The following is an 18751-nucleotide window of genomic DNA, read 5'->3' as shown; positions in this document are numbered from 1 at the left end:
CTGGAAGGCCAGGATCATGCCAGGGAGAGAGGGCAGAGGGGCAGGACGTGGAGGCAGGTGCTGAAAGGATCTGGACACAAGGAGGGAGGGCTTGAGGCCTATCAAGTAGGGGTACTTCCCTGGATACCCACCCATCCAGATCAGAGGGACAGAGGGACAGGCTGAGCCCAAGGCCCTGTGGCCAATGCCACCCCATCACCATAATAAGCTCCTACTATGTGCCTTGTATTAGGTGGTTTGCATACACTGTCCCATTGAATCCTCACAACAATCCCAATGCACCCCTTTTTTTTTTTTTGAGACAGAGTCTCACTCTGTCGCCCAGGCTGGAGTGTCGTGCTGTGATCTCGGCTCACTGCAACTTCTGCCTCCCACATTCAGGCAATTCTCCTGCCTCAGTCCCCCAAGTAGCTGGGATTACAGGCTCCTGCCAACACACCCAGCTAATTATTGTATTTTTACTAAAGAGGGGTTTTGTCATGTTGGCCAGGCTGGTCTCAAACTCCTGACCTCAGGTGATCTGCCCACCTCAGCCTCCCAAAGTGCTACGATTACAGGCATGAGCCACCGCGCCCAGCCCCTATGTACTCTTGTTCCCAATTTTACAAATGAGGACTGGAAGCTCAGAGAGGTTAAGTGACTTTCCCAGGGTCACACAGCTGGTAAATGGGGAGCTAGGTTTCAAACCTAGTGTGCCTCGCTCTAAAGGCTGTGCTCTTTCTGCTAAGTCATGCTACCTCCAGGGAGGAACACATCAGGTATTAGAAGTGGCAGGACTAAGCAGACGCCAGAGCCAAGGAGACTCACGTGGATAGGCAACAAGGATACAAGAAAGTGGGAAAGTCTAGGATAAAGACACCCCAGGCCAGGCACGGTGGCTTATGCCTGTGATTCCAGGATTTTGGGAGGCCAAAGCAGGAGGATCACGTGTGGTCAGGAGTTCAAGACCAGCCTGGCCAACATAGTGAAATACAAAAATTAGCCAGGTGTCGTGGCACACGCCTATAGTCCCAGCTACTCAGGAGGCTGAGGTGGGAGGATCACTTGAACCCAGGAGGCAGAGGTTGCAGTGAGCCAAGATCCCACTCCACTCCATCCTGGGTGACAGAGTGAGACTCCATCTTAAAAAAAAAAAAAAAATACCCCAAAGGCTCTTCTCTTGTCAGACTATGGAGAGAATGTGGGGCCAAGCAAGAAACTCCAGTGATATGAGGTGGGGTGGGCAACTGTACCACCAGATCTTTTTTTTTTTTTTTTTGATATAGTCATTCTCTGTCACCCAGACTGTGGTACAGTGAAGCAATCATAGCTCACTGCATCCTCCAACTCCTGGGGTCAAGCGATCCTCCTGCCTCAGCCTCCCAAAGTGCTGAAATTATAGGCATGCACCACCATGCCTGGCTAATATTTTTATATTTTGTAGAAATGAGGGTCTCACTATGTTACCCAGGCTGGTCTCGAACTCCTGGCATCAAGTGATCCTTCCTACTCAGCCTCCGAAAGCGCTGGGATTACAGGTATGAGCCACTGCGCCCCTGCCTCATGGTCTCTTATGTAATCCCAGCACTTTGGGAGGCCGAGGGGGGCGGATCACGAGGTCAGGAGATCGAGACCATCCTGGCTAACACGATGAAACCCCGTCTCTACTAAAAATACAAAAAAATTAGCCGGGCGTCGTGGCGGGCACCTGTAGTCCCAGCTACTCAGGAGGCTGAGGCAGGAGAAAGGCGTGAACCCGGGAGGCGGAGCTTGAAGTGAGCCGAGATCGAGCCACTGCACACTCCAGCCTGGGCGACAGAGCGAGACTCTGTCTCAAAAAAAAAAAAAAAGAAAGAAAGAAAAACTATAAATTCCAGCAAAACAGAATCCTCCCTCTCACTGCATGTCCAAGGGCAACCAGCTGACACTTCATAATCTTCCAAATTCCCCATCCCATAAAATAGTGGCAATGACCAACCCAGCCCCACGACCAAGGATCTGCTGCAATACAGTGACCTATTTCCTCAAGTCGGCAAAGACCATCGAGCCCCCTATGGAGAGGACAGCCGGACAGCAGGGTGGATGCTCAATGAGCTCTAGGGGACGGGTCCTTCTACAGTTCATCCTAACCGCACCTTGCCTTCTCCTTCATTAGCAGTTTGCAATCATTCTGTTCAATTGCTTGTTGTACTGACGTTTGGCATTGCCTTTATTTACTTTGCAAATGACCCATTCTCAGGCTGAGGCGTTCAGATACTTCACTTCTCTCTCCGAAGAGTAAGCATGACGGCCCAGTGCGGTGGCTCATACCTGTAATAATCCCAGTGCTTTGGGAGGCAGAGGCAGGAGGATTGCTTGAGGTCAGGAATTCAAGACCAGCTTGGACAATAGAACAAGACCCTGTCTCTACAAAAAAAAATTAAAATTAGCCGAATGTAGTGGTTCATGCCTGTAGTCCCAGCCACTCAGGAAGCTGAGGCAGAAGGATTGCTTCAGCCCAGAACTTCAAGGCCACAGTGAGCTATGACAGTGCCACTGCTCTCCAATTTAGGTGACAGAGTGAGACCCCATCTCTTAAAAAAAAAAAAAAAAAGGTTGTTTTTAATTCGCTGGGCATTGTGATGCATACCTGTAGTCCCAGCTACTCAGGAGGCTGAGGCAGGAAGATTGCTTGAGCACAGACGTTCAAGGTTACAGTAAGCTACGATGGCACCATTGCGCTCCAGCCTGAGCAACAGAGCAAGATGTTTTCTCTAAAAATAAAGATAAAAATTAAAATCCAAGTAAAATAAATCTTTAAAAGAAACAAAGTGCTTCTCAAACATTCAAGTACAGGGACCTCGGGTAGACTGAAAAAATGAGCCACTAGTGCCTTCCCTGGAAACAACTCATTAAACAACTTCCACGTGATCATTGTTACTTATAGTTTACTAGTCAACATGCTTAAAGTCTAATTAGAAAAAAAATCCCTGGATATTAAGTTGGGAAACAGACCCAAGTCTGTATCTACATAAAGGTCACCACCTTGGTGACCTTTGGTAAATTTCATTTTTGTTCTTTGATTTCATTTTCTTTGAGAATGAGAAGCTGAAAGCTTTAAAGCTTTCTTCCCATAACTCCGAAATAGTTTATGAGCTCAAAAGAAAATATGACTAAAAGAAATGTGTGGTCATCAATACCTGGCTGCCCAGTATTTTCATGGACACAGACTTGTAACATATTCTGAAAGTTCCTTTAAGGAAAATAACTCTGTAGATATGGACAGCAAGGGAAAAGGGATCAATAAGAAAAAGAAAGGGAAATGAGTTAATGACAAAGGAGGAATGGTAGGTAGTAGAAATGATTCCCCACTTACTTGTTTTTTATCTATAGTCTAGTTATTCCTATTTGAAAACCTACTGGCACCAGGTATTATCAACAGGGATGAGTAATATGTAATTTTTATCTTTACTGGGTTACATTTGGCACATGGACAGTTGACAGCTGTCAGTCAGGTGGCTGGTCAATGAGGAGATACATATAAAGCTGCCAAAATATTTTTGTTGCTTTAAATACTTACAAGTAAACCATTTTAGCTGGAAATTTTGTTGCACTGAAATTAAATAGGCTGATATTTAAAATATAATTAATTGAAGTTAACTACTGGGAGAATCAAGATTTTCCCTATTAATATATAAGGTTAAATAACATGTTTTTCCAAGTGTCTTTCTGAAACAGGAAAACAATTTTTCTCCACTGTAAATAAGCTATCTGTAAGATAGGAAGATAACTTGCAAATAATGTTTAAAATGCATATGTTTTAATGTTAAATATTTAGAGCAGGTGTAAACCAATGCTACTTTAAACTCCAATATTTTATTAAAATAAACCATTCCCATACATTGAGGGAGTTGGCATAGGTTTTTTTGTGACACAATGTTGAAGATTTATTAGAAAGGACAAACATAGCTGCATGGTAGACAAGAATTTACAGCTTCTCATAATGAAAATTTTAAAAAATGGGATTTTAGACTAAGTCTACAACTCAGGCACAGCTAAAATGATAAATTTTAGTTATTTTGAAATATTTGAGCTATATTTAATATTATTTCCAATAGCTTCATTTATACTTAAATAATTGACAGAGTCATAAACAATAGTTTGGCAGAAGCTTTTGGTTTGCTTATACTTAATGACAATGTAATAATTATAGCCAATGGTAATGCATGTGAAAACTTAACAAATACAATTCTGAAGTTGACATAAGAACACATGTTGTTCAGTTTTGCAGTAACTATCATCTTTAAAAGTAAATATTGTGATTGTTTAGGAATATAGTATTTAACAGACTAGAAAAATATAAGTAAAATTTTCAAGTGCATGAAATACATACTAATTCTTTAAGAGACTAATGAAGTTATTCTAAAAATTTAGCGACTATAGTTACTCAGGTGTCTGAATCAATATAATGAAACATAATGAAGCATGACAAAATATATATGAAAGTAGCAGCTTGAAATCGCAATAAATACATATATATTTTTAAATGTTTTAATCATTTGAAATATATATGTAACAATTTATAATAAAAAGTATATTTGGATTTTAATGTTTTAAAATAGGGGTTCATTAAAATGTTTGTGGGTAACGTTATGTTTTTAAAATATTAGCTATTTTGTTTGGGTGGAGTATTTCTGATAATTTTTTAAACCACAAATGTTTCATAATTTTCAACAGTAATTACAACAGTTTAAAAGAGTATGTTAGTTATACATTTGTGGCATATCCATGTCGTCACTGATTTAAAAATCATTTCAGGTACAGTGGTCATTAAAAAAGTCAGACCTTATTTTTTTTCCACTATAAAATCATGTGTTAAGGATGTAGATTTAAAGTTATTTATGGGATCATCAGAATAAAACAACTGCCTCATAGTATTAGTAATTTATATTGGTAGGAGTCTTTTCTTTCTTAAGCACCAATTCTACCCCCCACAGCCCAGAAAATTGATTTTATCCATAATAATTTATAGCATTCTTCATCAATGTATACTGTTGTTTCTTTTAAATTCATTAGCCCATGTTGCTTGTGAATATGGAATTTGGTTATTAAAATGGTTTCATATGTTTACTATGTATAGGCTCTAGCTTTGAGCTGCTTACTTGCTTAAATAAATGTTTTCAATTTACTATAATACAACAATTTGTAGAGAAATGCTGTGAAGCATAGTTAAAAGAATGAATCCCTGAAATAGAATCACTTTTTAAAAATATGCCCTAACATGTGGTCTCATTTTTTCATGTTTTGCATTAATTAAAGTCCTATTCTGAAAAAAATATTTTTGCCTAAACTTTTGAATTAACAAAATAAAAATAAAAAATATACAAATATACGAATTTTGGAAATCAGTGATGTAAAAACATGCTTTAATACCGTCTTGGTTGTTAATTTCAAAGATTTTTCTCAAAAGACACTCTTTGTAAAGTAATGAGAAAATATTGCCACTTTTAATTATTAAATAATATTTACTACAATACAATTTACTTTTAATTATTAAACATGCAATATATTTTAAATTATTTAATTATATATGCAACGTATATTTTAAAAATGTATTAAAATAAAGTTAATTGCATGTTCTCTCTAATCATGTTCTTGTAGCATGCACACATTTTAAAAAACCCAGTACATGTAATTTTTGAAAATAGTATGTACCATTACACCTTTTTATTTGGGAGATTTATTAGAAAATAACTTTTTATTCAGAAAAGATTATGACAGAATTAGATAAAAAGGAGACTAAAATGTGTGTTAAATCATGTAATATTATAAATGTAATTAACTCTTCATCTTCCAAATATTGAAAACAGTAATGAAAGAGACCAATATTTAAAAATAGAATCTTTTTTTAAACCTAAAAAAAAAACTAAAAAATTGTTATATGGTAACAGCTTTACTTTCACATAAGGCAAACCCACTGTTGAGTGAGTTGGCTCTGATTCCAATGGTCTCATCAACTTTGTGAACACAGGTACCTCAGTGGTGCCTCTTTCAAGACAACAAAATTAACTTTTAGAGATTAAAAAATATATTTTGGCAATTGAAACTCACCAGTGCCTTTCTGCTTCTCCAGGAAGTTGTACCCGTCAGCACCTGCTGAGGGCTTTGTTGTCCAAACCCTGACAGGTAAAAAAATTCCTGTAGAATAAAGCCAGACCAGCTGGCTTTGAAGAGAAACCCCCCAGTTTGGGCTGCGTTTGCCTCCTCTCCTTTTCTATGAAGACCGAGGCTTTGCCCCCTTGATCGTCAAGCCGTGAGATGCGTGATCTCTCTGCACAAGTGTCTGGCAGGCCGAGGTGCACCTGTTTCTGTCACTCTGGAGTAAATTTAGCTGTAAAGGTATCACTGACAACCAGACCTTTGTCAGTGCTGGCAAAAGAACACAGAATTGCTTCCCTCCCCTCCCCCCTCCCGACCCCCTATGCTGCTAGTTCCAATGGAAAATATCCAATCGGAAGTCTATCCAAAAATCATTCCTAAAAAATGAAATTGCTTTCATATGGTATAAAAAAGTAAGTTTCCTCATTTCAAGCAGATTTTAAAATTACATTTCCAAGAATAATCTTGGAACAAGACAAGTTTTCGTTCAATTAATTGTGGCTGGAAACTTTTTAATGGAAACATAGCACATACTTACTTCATTTCAGGTTATTAAATTGTGTTAAGCATAAAAGTTATTTGCCATTCTTTGCTGCAGCTCATTTGTTCTTTTCGATTCTAAGAAATATTAGAAGGTTAAATAACTTATCACATAGGAGAGATTATTCATACTACCAAAATTAGAATGTGTGTAGTTCTGAGGGACTGAATGTCAAAATTGTATGCTCATAGCACTAAAACTATTGGGAATCTAGGATGACACTGGAACATGTAAAATGGCAGCTAAGGTCTATGGAAACCCTTCATGTTTAGAAACTGGCTAAAGCTTGAGTTCTCTTATCTTTTGGTTAAGGTAAGGACATTTATCATTTATGTGAATGTTTTAGACTAATTTCTTTATTAGTGGTTTGAGCAATATTCCTTTTGAGGAAAATAGAGAGGCAGGCAATATTCATTAATATGTCTGACATAAATAAAATAGTCAAGATATATAAAGCAGCCCAAGGAGTAACATCCTTAGCCAAAGCATTCTGAGCTTCTGCCTTAATAATTATGATTTCTTAAGTGGAGTTAAAAAGAGTTGTACAGAGTACCTGTTCTACCATATTATTGCTGTTTACAGGAGTTGGGTGTGATGAGAAAAGGAAAGCTGGGTCAAAATAAAAAATGCTTTGTAAAATAAACAAAGTTCCTATTTACTTACTATGTATAAACAGCCACTCACCAAGCCTCGTTTCTCCACAGGGCACCATTTTCAGATAAAAACATAGACCTGAATGGCATCATCCAGTATCCAAGGAAACCATGTAAGTACCTCTCTCACTGTGTACTTCTGTTATTCAGATCTTAAAAGCTAGCTGAGTACTGAATAAGTGAGTGTTTTTATTTAATAATTATAAGGGAAGTACTTTTTAGGAGCCTGCTAAAAAGAAACAGGTTCTTTATTGTTATGTGCGTCATAACAAAACTCTCATGTTTTCATCATATTTCATAAAATTATGTGCTTAGTACCACTCTCTCCATCAATTCTCATTCTTAGGTACAAAATAGTTACTCAAAGTCCTAATGAATTGGAAGTTTCAAACTTTTCCAAGACCCAAACAATGTTTCAGAGTCCTTGTGCCGGGAGTACTTTATTAATTGTAGTTAAACTTGTTAAATTTTAAAAATTAAGAAAAAATTCCTTGGAAAATAATGGTTTATTGGTAAACAAGTATGGCAATTTATTTGGCTGTAGGCTTGCTTGAAGAGTGAGCAGGTGAGCAAAGAGACAAGATTACATGTTTAAACCAAGAAAAGAATCTTGAAAGTAAGTGTAATGACCAAGATGCAAAAATCTGTTTGGGGAAATTGTTGGAAGGTTGGCACATTATTTTCTTTATCCCCTCCCCACAAACTAATGTACATTTCTGCAGCTAATATCAAAGTTTTAATTCATGTTCAGGAGCTATGAAATCTACTGTGGAAATTTAGTTTCTAAACAACATGCTACTCTGGAGAAAGACATTCCTAAAATATTTGAAATTTCTACTATTACCGTACTTCGACTTTTTTTTTTGTTATTTGTACTATCTCCTTTTAAAATTAAATTATTTTCAATGTGAAATGATTATTCATTATTGTTTATATACCTTTTCACGAAAACACTTAACATTTTCTATATACTCATGTAATTATAGACCTCGTTTTTTACCTTCTAAATTCACTATATGATTTACCTACTCTTTAAATACAGACATATTACTTTTCATTGAGGGTGGTTTCAGAGTTTTTCATATATATATTTTTTTGCTTTTGTCACTCGTGTGTATTTCTACTTTTCCTCTGCAGCATGGCTCCTTGCTAAGCATAAATGGTAGAGATTATCTCACAGTTTCTCTGAAGAATTAGAGAGGTCCTTCATGTTCAATAACTAACTGCAGGAGCATTTCACTTTATCACATAATTATGTCAAATTCTATTGTTTATGCATTTGCATATTTCTGCCTTTTAATATATGTTACCAAACACATCTTTCTGAATTGAGAAAAGTTGTCAGACTAAGGAATTCGCTGGAACTTTGGAAGGGCCTCCTCACCCAATAGGAAGACCTGGCTAGGAATTTAATTTTTTTTTTTTTTTTTTTTTTTTTTTTTGAGACGGAGTCTCGCTCTGTCGCCCAGGCCGGACTGCGGACTGCAGTGGCGCAATCTCGGCTCACTGCAAGCTCCGCTTCCCGGGTTCACGCCATTCTCCTGCCTCAGCCTCCCGAGTAGCTGGGACTACAGGCGCCCGCCACCGCGCCCGGCTAATTTTTTGTATTTTTAGTAGAGACGGGGTTTCACCTTGTTAGCCAGGATGGTCTCGATCTCCTGACCTCCTGATCCACCCGCCTCGGCCTCCCAAAGTGCTGGGATTACAGGCGTGAGCCACCGCGCCCGGCCAGGAATTTAATTTTTTATGTAACTCGCAAACTTCACAAGTGTGGAGTCTGAGACCGGAAGTGCTACCAAACTCCACTGAAAGTGAAGTTTGAGGCCAGAAGTGGGATTTCCTTGCTGCATAATAAAAGTGGGCTTTGGCTGAGTAAAATTGGAAGCAGAGAGGGCTTAGAATAGATGTTTATAAAGAAAGAAAATCCTAATTGAAGGGGAAGACCAGGTAATGTTATAATTCACTATTTTGAGAAAATGGAATCTTTTGAATTCATTCTCCTTGTAATACAAGGGAAATGAAAATCTATAGTACAATGCTCATGGCACAATTTTAACTGTTTACATTAAAATATAAATTTTTCCAGAAAAAAAATTTAAATTTGACATATTTAATGAAACCTCCTATAACAAAAGGAAAATTGCTATAGAAATAAATGTATATATATATATATATATATACACACACACACACATTTATGTATATATTTGAGATTTTCCATTCATCAGTAGTAACCTCTCTAATGTAGACCAACCTTGTTTAGTAGAACTTTCTGTGATAATGGACATGTTCCATAGCTGCACCATCCAATATGGTACTCACTAGCCATATGTGGCTATTGAGTACTTGAAACATGGCTAGTGCAACAGAGAAACTTAATTTTGAATTTTATTTACATTTAATTAATTTAAATATAAATAGCCCACATGTAACTAGTGGCTACCATATAAACAACCTAGCTCTGGTCTAGATCACTTAGAAATGTGGGGAGAGTCAAATATGTATAGATTTGATATCACTATCAGTTATTTCTTATCTGTATCAACTACCATTGACCATTACTGAAATCATTAATGCCTGAAGAAGTGTGCTCCAACATTAATTTAGCAGGATTTTGAGAAATACTGTCATGTGATAGGCCAAATTGTAAAGAGTACTATTTTGTTTTCATCAGAAATTAAATACCCTCTTGCGGAGATTTTCTATTTCTTTTGGTATTCTGTCATACAATATAATTTTTTATGTTTACTTTAATATTTGAATTATTACAGTAGAATTTCTTTATGATACTTTCTCAGAGATGAATGCTTTTCATATGGTCGATAGGAAGACATTATAAAATTACTTTATAAGCCTGGGACAGCAACTTTTAAAATGGCCTTTGTAAACAAGACTACATGAAAAAGATAAATACACTAATGAAAATTCTAACTATGGGGACAAATATTTTTAAAAGTTTAGTTATAATTGGCTGGGTGTCGTGGCTCATGACTGTAATCCCAGAACTTTGGGAGGCCAAGGTGAGTGGATCATCTGAGGTCAGGATTCAAGACCAGCCTGACCAACATGGTGAAACCCTGTCTCTACTAAAAATACAAAATTAGCCGGGCGTGGTGGCAGGCGCCTGTAATCCTAGCTACTTGGGAGGCTGAGGCAAGAGAATCACTTGAACCCGGGAGGTGGAGGTTCCAGTGAGCTGAGACCACACCATTGCACTCCAGCCTGGGCAACAAGAGTGAAACTCCATCTCAAAAAATAAATAAATAAATAAATAAATAAAATAAAAATAAAAAAAGGAAAAAGTTTTCTTACAAGTTCTGCAATGCAACTTGGCAATACAACTTGGCAAATAATTCCAAAAATGTAATCGGCCTCAAAAAGTGCTCCCTAGCCTTGTTTCTCCAAAAGCTGATTCTACTTCCAAAGCACACATCAGAGTTTAAATCTCCCATGACCTTTTCAGGCGTTTAGTGGAAATGATCATTAGGATTTGTGATGATACTTTTATAATAATGCTAGACAGTAATATTATAGATAGGATAATTGCGTATAAAATAATATTGAAAATTTTAAATTTGTATAGATTTTAAAAGTTAGTAAATTCATATCTTGAATGCTGATTATTTGTAGGACATTGAACCTAGAGACTCTGGGAAATATTTTTTTAAATGGGAGACATCCGTCCTTTTAGGAACTCCATTTATTGGACCTGGGCATGTTCTTTTGGAAGGATAGGATTCAGATAAGCGAGAGAGAGGAGACTTCCTTTGGCATAACCTTGGACAAGCTACTGAGTGTTCCTTCTGCAGTGAAACAATAGGATTCTGGATAAAACATACTTTCTAATGAATTACTTGACTTCAGGAAACTTTTTTAACAACTCTAAAGATCCTTCTTCCTTGCCTCAGGATGAAAAAATTAAAAAGCATGAGGTGAAACTGCTGTTGAAGAGTAATAAACAAACAGGAAAAGTGGGATGGACAATTAAATTGTATGGGTTGTATTTATTTGCAAAGATACTGTTGGAAGTATAGCAGTCACATGCTCTATTAGACTGCTCCTAAACCGAGCCTTATTTGAAAAAAAAAACAAGGAGAACCAACAACCACATTTGTAGACCCAGTTTTTTGGTGTCCTTTTTTTTTTTCCTTTTGGTATCTTCAGTTAAGTAGCCAACCACTTTCATATTGTCAGATCTGTTTTCAGAAAGAGGGCCTACTTTTGCTCAGAAACCAGTGTTCTGTGTGGAGAAAACATGGGTCTCCATTGAAGGAATCCTACAAATCTCTGATATCTGCATGTTTGAGAAAGTACTTTCATTCAGACACATGGACTGTAACTTCTGAGTCCTTAACCACCACCTCAAATTAGTATTTGTCTACTTTTAAGTGTATTTAACTTTTTGTTATGAAAATTCAGAATATATTAGAAAAGTAGAGGGAAAAGTGTAATGAAATTTTGTATAACCATACCTACCTTCCACAGCTATCATCTCATGGGCCAGGTTGTTTCATAATTGTTGTTTCCACTTTCCACTTCCACCTCAAATTATTTTGAAGCGAATCCCAGACATGACATCATTTTATCTGGTAACATTTCAGTCTGTATCTTTAAAAGATAAGATTTTTTTAACTTAAAAATGAACCACATCTAGAAAATTAACCACACTTAAAAAGTCAACATTTTCTTACTATTCTCAAATATACAAAACCAATATTCAAAATTTTCTGGTTGTCTCCTAAAGTTTTGTATTCTTTACTGTTTGAAGCAGGATACAAATAAGGTCCATACATTGTAATTGGTTAATATGTCTCCTCTTTTAATCTATAGGTTTATGTTTATTTTTCCTTGTTTCTTAAGAAACTGGATTGTTTGTGCTGTAGAGCTTTCCATAGTCTGCATTTGCTGATGCTTTCCTGCAGAGTCATTTAATGAGCTCCTCAGCCCTGTTTCTTACCTGTTAATGGGTAGTGAAGACTCTAGAAACTTGATGAAATTCATTTAGGGGATGGGGGGCAAGACTACTGGCTCTTTCTCTTTTTGTGACGTTAGCAGGTGTTGTTGATCATTGCCTACATCTATTTATTCCTTAGAGCTTGAAAAATGGCAATATAATTGTCATTTCTGGTTTATTTATTGCGTGGAATAGTTCTATAAAGATAAACTAGTTTGTTAGAGTTTCAATTTATATAAGAAAATCAGGATGGATGCTTTATTCTCTCCCTTTATCAGTTCTTAATATAATGTGTGGTTCCTTAACATCCTCTAAAGTTTACCAATGGTTTAAAAAATTTCATTGTGAACATTAATGCGCTTCAAGCTATTGCAGTTATCATACTTATGAATGCCCAGTTTGCCACATCTCTGATTACTCAAAGTTTATCTCAGTTGGTTCCTCTGTGTTTTTGAAAGAACCTCAAGTTTTTGAGAGCTTCCAGGATAATTGGTGTGACAAAATATAACAGGCTCATCTTTAATATTTCCTTTCCAAACCTGGAATCAGGCAATTATCCAAGAAATTTTAGTTCTTTCTTTTTTTTTTTTTGTCTTGGAACTAGTACTTGAAAACCGTAATCTTAAAATTAGTGAGCTCATTGCTACTGACTTTGTCCTTAATCTAGGCCCTTTCAAAGGAAAGAGCTAGAAAAAGTGTGTGTATGTGTGTGTGTGAGAGTGTGCGTGTGTATGTTTAATTTTAAGACTAAATACATCAGGAGCTCACACTAATACTTCCTATTAATATACAACCCAACAGGATTTTAATTTAGTCACATAAATCTTGTATCATATCAATGTCCTTTCTTCCCAGCTGACCATCCTACAATCTTAATTCTTAATGATAGTAGCGTACTTATTTGCTTATGCTACAAATACACTTATAACAGGCTCAGAATAATAATACCAAGACTACTACCATCAGTAGTGATGTACACATCCTGTGTACACCCTGTGTACAGCCCCCTTCTCTTTAAAGATGTATGTATTACTGAGGTTTTAAGTCATGTAAAATTGTTTCTTTTGGTGTGATTATGCCACCAGCTAGATATAGATAGATTCACTTGGCTCTTTTTGCTTTCAATTTTTTGGGATTAAAATGTTAGCTAGGAGAGACCAGAGCAGTGCATAGTCTACCTCATTTCTCACTACTGAGGTTCTACCTAATTGCATATGAATTAAGAGATTTTCCATTGTGACTGGTGAGAAAAGGCCTATTTCCAGCCCTAGGAAGGTGCCAGGTACTGTTCCCCGTATAATTATTTCCGATGCTTCTTTCCTCAGCCTTGGGTAGCTTCCTCATGCACATATCCAGATCTCTGAGACTCTCTGCAGATTTCAAGAGATTGTTGTCTGTGCATCTGCTCTCTCCTGAACTCTGTCCTGTAAGCTCTAGCTACTTTATTATCCCATATCTTTAGCTCTGTTTCCTCAATTCATGGAGTTTGCCTCCCTTGAGTTAGTTGCCCTTCCTGTGCCACTGCTAAGAAACCTTCACGGGCTTAAGCCAGAGCCTTCATAGGATTCACCTCCCTCAGGGATCAACGTCCTTTGTGGTCTGATAGCTCATGTCTTGACAACCATTGTTTCATATATTTTGTCGGGGTTTATTTTTGGTTGTTTCAGGAAGCAGGGCACATCCAGTCCCTTTCAGTCCATCTTGGCTAGAAATGGAAGTCTCCCCAGTTGTTTCTTAAAAAGGTCAGCTATAGCTTATTAATCCAAACAGTTTCTTAATATGAAGCTCAATATTTAAATTAAATTTAAAAATATTCTGATTGATGTGTGTTTGTTCGTGTGTCGGAAATCTTTCTGAAACACTGCTGTAGTCTTAAAGCTACCAGTTCCACTTCAAGACCTCTTCTTGGCCTATTTCCTCCCAACTAGGTTTCCCCCAACAGATGAGTCCTTTTTTATTTTCTGCCACTTAGAGGCAATTTTTGGGTTCACTCATTCATTTCTTTAACAGACATTTTTGATTACCTATTATGTGTCATATGAAGTGTTGAGAATACAATGGTGAATAAAACACCACTCATTCCCTTAAAAATGTTGCAATTTAATTTTCACACAGAAATTTGAACATGAATGTTCACAGCAACTTTATTTGTAATAGCACCAAACTGGAAATGCCCATATGCCCATCAATGGGTGAATGGTTGGACAGACTGTGATATAAGCATGCTATAGACTACAGCAATAAAGACTAACAAACTGTTATTATGGGTAACAACCTGGATGAACCTCAAGGAAATTGTGCTGAGTGAAAAAAAAAAACCTGTCTTAAAAAGATACATTACTGAATGATTTCATTTATACAACCTTCATGAAATAAGATCATTATGGAGAAAGATTAGTGGTAGCCAGGGGTTAGGGAGGGGAAGGGGAGAGGGTGGGGTGTGCATAAAGTGGTAGCACTAGGGAGTCTTATGGTGATGGTACAGTTAAGTGTCTTGATTGTGCTAGTGGTTACTCGAAGCTACACATGTGATACAATGACATAGAGCTATACACACATACAAACAAAAATAACTGTATGTATAGCTGGTGAAATATCTATGGATTCTATGAAAAGCTCCATGGATTGTACTATTGTCAGTTTCCTGGTTTTAATATTGCAGTTTTGCAAGATGTTAACACTGAGAATGAGGACTGGATGAAGGGTGCACATGACCTTCCCGTCCATTTCTTTGCATGTTTTTTGTGAAATTTTAATTACTTTAAAATAAAAAGTTAAAAAATATCTTGCAATTTTGTGGAGGGTACAAAGAACTAAACAGCCAATTATAATAGCCAATTGTATACTACCTTTCACTGAAAATTTTTATTAATTTTTATTTTCTGAAATAATAACTGGTTGTTCACTAAATCCTTTAAAATTTCTTCTAAGAAGACATTCCAGTGTATGTCAGTAGTATAGTTGACAGAGTATTTCTCTCTCATCTTCTGGTAATTTGTGGTGACTGTGTAGTCCTGATTTTTATTATGGCCATGGTCTTTTTTGTATCCTTTCCTATCTCTGTCTCTATAGCGGAGAAAACCATTAGTTATTTCTTGCGCTTATTTCAGCAAAGGGGAAGTAATACATACATATGGGGGAATACCTTATTCCCACTCCCAAGTCATAAGACAATGTCTCTACTACTCTTGTCTCTTAAAGCTTCCCCATCAGGTCATGCTTCTATTTGCAGGACATGTATTAGCAGTAGTGCACTAGCAAAATAGTTGTGTTGATTCTCCTCTACCCCCACCAAAGTAATGTGCCCTCCTTTTATAGCCTCAGTAAAATACCTTAACCATACAAGGCAAACATTTTGTAAGAATGAGCATGTATTACTACAAAGCAACAGGAGGCTCATGTTCTCACAACATGTTCAAATGTAAGCACAAAGACCCACTCCAGATTTAAATATCAATGAGTTTTGGAATACACACAGCTTTGGCTCATTTCTGGCCCTATTCTGCCATCAGCATGTATCAGCCAAAGCTTTACTCTGACCCATTTAGAAATAGCCTTTGTACGTGAAGATGAACGCATAGTTGTAGTGGGTTTTTTACATAGTCACTTATTACTATAGCTTATTTTAATTTAGTGACAGATTGTCATATATTTTGAGTTTTCTCAAGTTATAAAAGTTTTTTTTCTTTCTTGGAACTAAATAGAATATATATTATTTCTGATATGTTGAGGGAAATTTATGTTGGTTTTGTTCATATTACTAGAAAAGTCACTCAATATGAATTTGTGCTCTTGTGACGTTGTGACAACTCAGTTGTCCTAGAATTTTTATTAGGCTGTTTCTAAATTTCACAAATCCATGAATAGGTGAGTTTACAATATATAGACTGGAAGTACTTTATTTTTAAAAATTTTTCCCCCAAAACTCACCCCCTCTTCTCAGTGTCAGGAAAACCTCTTTGGAGTTCTATTGGACTAAGTGTCTGAGTCTGTGCCTATGTGGGTTGCTGGAATATTTATTTACCAGGCAGAAAACATTCTTGAAGTTTTTAATTTGATCTGTCTCCTTGAAATAAATATCATGAAAAGAATATATAGGTACCTTTGGTTTGTGTCCTTTACCTTGAAAAGTATAGCAGCCAATTTGAAATTGCCTAGGTCTACTTTGTGAAATTCACCACTTAGTTCTACCTTTGATCTCATGCTTCTTTTTAAAAAATTGATGAATTCATTGGGTCTTGGGCCTTTTTTTTTTTTTAATTTTGCTTATATAGTCATAATGTACTTTACATTTAACAGGTCATTTATGGTTGATTCAATCCCAAGACTTTTCCTCATTTTTTGTTGTAGTCAATTGTGTACTACTTTTCACTTAAAATGTTTATTGATTTTGATTCTCTGAAATGAAACCCATTTTTGTGCTAAATCTTTTAAAATCATTCTAAGAAAATAGTCAAGTTTATGTATACTTGACTTAGAATATTTCTGATAATTTGTGGTGACTCTGTGGTCCTGATTTTTATATGGCCATGATCTTTCCTGTGTCCTCGTCTTCTCATATCTCTCTCTATAGCTGAAAAAATTACTAGTTATTCCTTGTTGTTAATTCTTTAAAATGCAGTCATAAGGATTCTCAAAGTTACACAACGTTCCACAAATTCTATACTTTTTCTACAACCTTAATTAAGATTGCACCAGTGCTAAAATGGATATACACAACCATACTATTAAAAATATTACAAGCATTTTTGGAGAGGAATAGGAATTAACAGGAAGCAGTACGCTTTCCATAGATTTGGAAAGCCACCGAAGAGGAATTTTTTTTTTTTTTTTTTTTTTGGACAGAGTCTCGCACTGTCGCCCGGGCTGGAGTGCAATGGCGTCATCTTGGCTCACTGCAACCTCCGCCTCCCAGGTTCAAGCAATTCTCCTTGCCTCAGCCTCCCTAGTAGCTGGGATTACAGGCGCCCGCTACCATGCCCAGCTAATTTTGTTTTTGTATTTTTAGTAGAGACGGGGTTTCACTATGTTGGCCAGGCTCAGAAGAAGTATTTATTTTATTTTTATTTTTATTTTTTATTTTTTATTTTTTTTGAGACGGAGTCTCGCTCTGTTGCCCAGGCCGGACTGCGGACTGCAGTGGCGCAATCTCGGCTCACTGCAAGCTCCGCTTCCCGGGTTCACGCCATTCTCCTGCCTCAGCCTCCCGAGTAGCTGGGACTACAGGCGCCCGCCACCGCGCCCGGCTAATTTTTTGTATTTTTAGTAGAGACGGGGTTTCACCTTGTTAGCCAGGATGGTCTCGATCTCCTGACCTCATGATCCACCCGCCTCGGCCTCCCAAAGTGCTGGGATTACAGGCGTGAGCCACCGCGCCCGGCCAAGTATTTCTTTTAAAGTTGCCTAAATATTCTTAAAGCGTTGATTTTGGAACAAGAGTTGCATAGGCACCACTATAATCCCTCCAGTTTATAAAGAGAAGTCATTTGCCACATCTTCCTTCCCTCCTCTGCTTCTGCCTGAACAAAAGTGTGCAGAATCTACTCCCACCTGCAGCAAACCTATCAGTCCCTGGACCAAACTCAACAATAGGAAGCATATTTGGAGCCTTTGACTCTCTTTTCCTCATTGGGTACATATAGTGGCCCTGCTACTACTGCTGGGCTCCCGTATTATTGCTCATTCTGAGCTGGAATCTCTGCAGTTCACTAGATCTGGGAGGCCATGATTCCGAATTATATCCTAGGGGCCAGTGTGGCTCTATAGATATGGAAATTGTCCCCTTCTGTCTACACGGTACTAGGCCTCTGCTAAGTTTCCTTGGATCTTTAGATGCTGTCACTATGCCCTAATTCCACTCTGTGGTGTTTCATGAAATAGAATCAGATCTGATGATGGCCACCATCTGCCTGATTTCTAAGTATTCCTGATAGTCTCTGCTACTTCTGCCTGATATGATACCCTATTACTTACAGCTGCTTGCATGACTTCAGTGCTCTTTCTGCCCTTTGAATATGGTGCCTTTCTGTCTTATGGATCTGTGGTTGTCAGTTGTGAATAGTTTCTGCTGTATATTTGTGATCCCAAATGTGTGTCCTGGCTGGTATTGCTAAACATCCCTTGTGCTTCACACCTGTATCAGAGAGATGGGCCTCAGACATAATGAGTCTTTCCAAGCTCTGAAGGGTGGCATCTCACTGATTGCACCATAGTATGAGTCTCATTCACTCTGTTTCTCCATAGCTCTTCTTGGTTCCAAAACGCTATCTTGGTAACTTATGATAATAAAACCATTAAAATAAGGATTAAAACAAAGGCACGTAATAAAAGGGCGTAGGATAAAACTAAACCAGAAAACCAGGACCTCCCTCAAAGATCCTGCAGTTGAATAACTTGAATTTTAGGCTCACCTTTCTGCCAGTTGGAGAAAAAGAGAGGCATAGAAATGATGCCACCTACTATCAGATCAGAGTAGGGCAGGAGATT

The 18751-nt window shown here is 37.3% G+C and overlaps 1 long non-coding RNA gene across 1 annotated transcript; it reads right to left on the bottom strand.

Moving 5' to 3' along the window:
• Positions 1–2157: 2157 nt before the first annotated feature.
• On the bottom strand, positions 2158–6206 carry LINC01372 (long intergenic non-protein coding RNA 1372). The gene is made up of 3 exons (NR_108104.1): positions 6070–6206; positions 2609–2732; positions 2158–2385 (listed from the first exon to the last, which is right to left on the bottom strand). It is a non-coding gene; the product is annotated as a long intergenic non-protein coding RNA 1372 (long non-coding RNA).
• Between the last annotated feature and the right edge of the window lie 12545 nt (positions 6207–18751).

Source organism: Homo sapiens, chromosome 7 (assembly GCF_000001405.40).
Source record: "Homo sapiens chromosome 7, GRCh38.p14 Primary Assembly".
NCBI lineage: Eukaryota > Metazoa > Chordata > Mammalia > Primates > Hominidae > Homo > Homo sapiens.
This window is presented reverse-complemented; position numbering and strand designations above follow the sequence as displayed.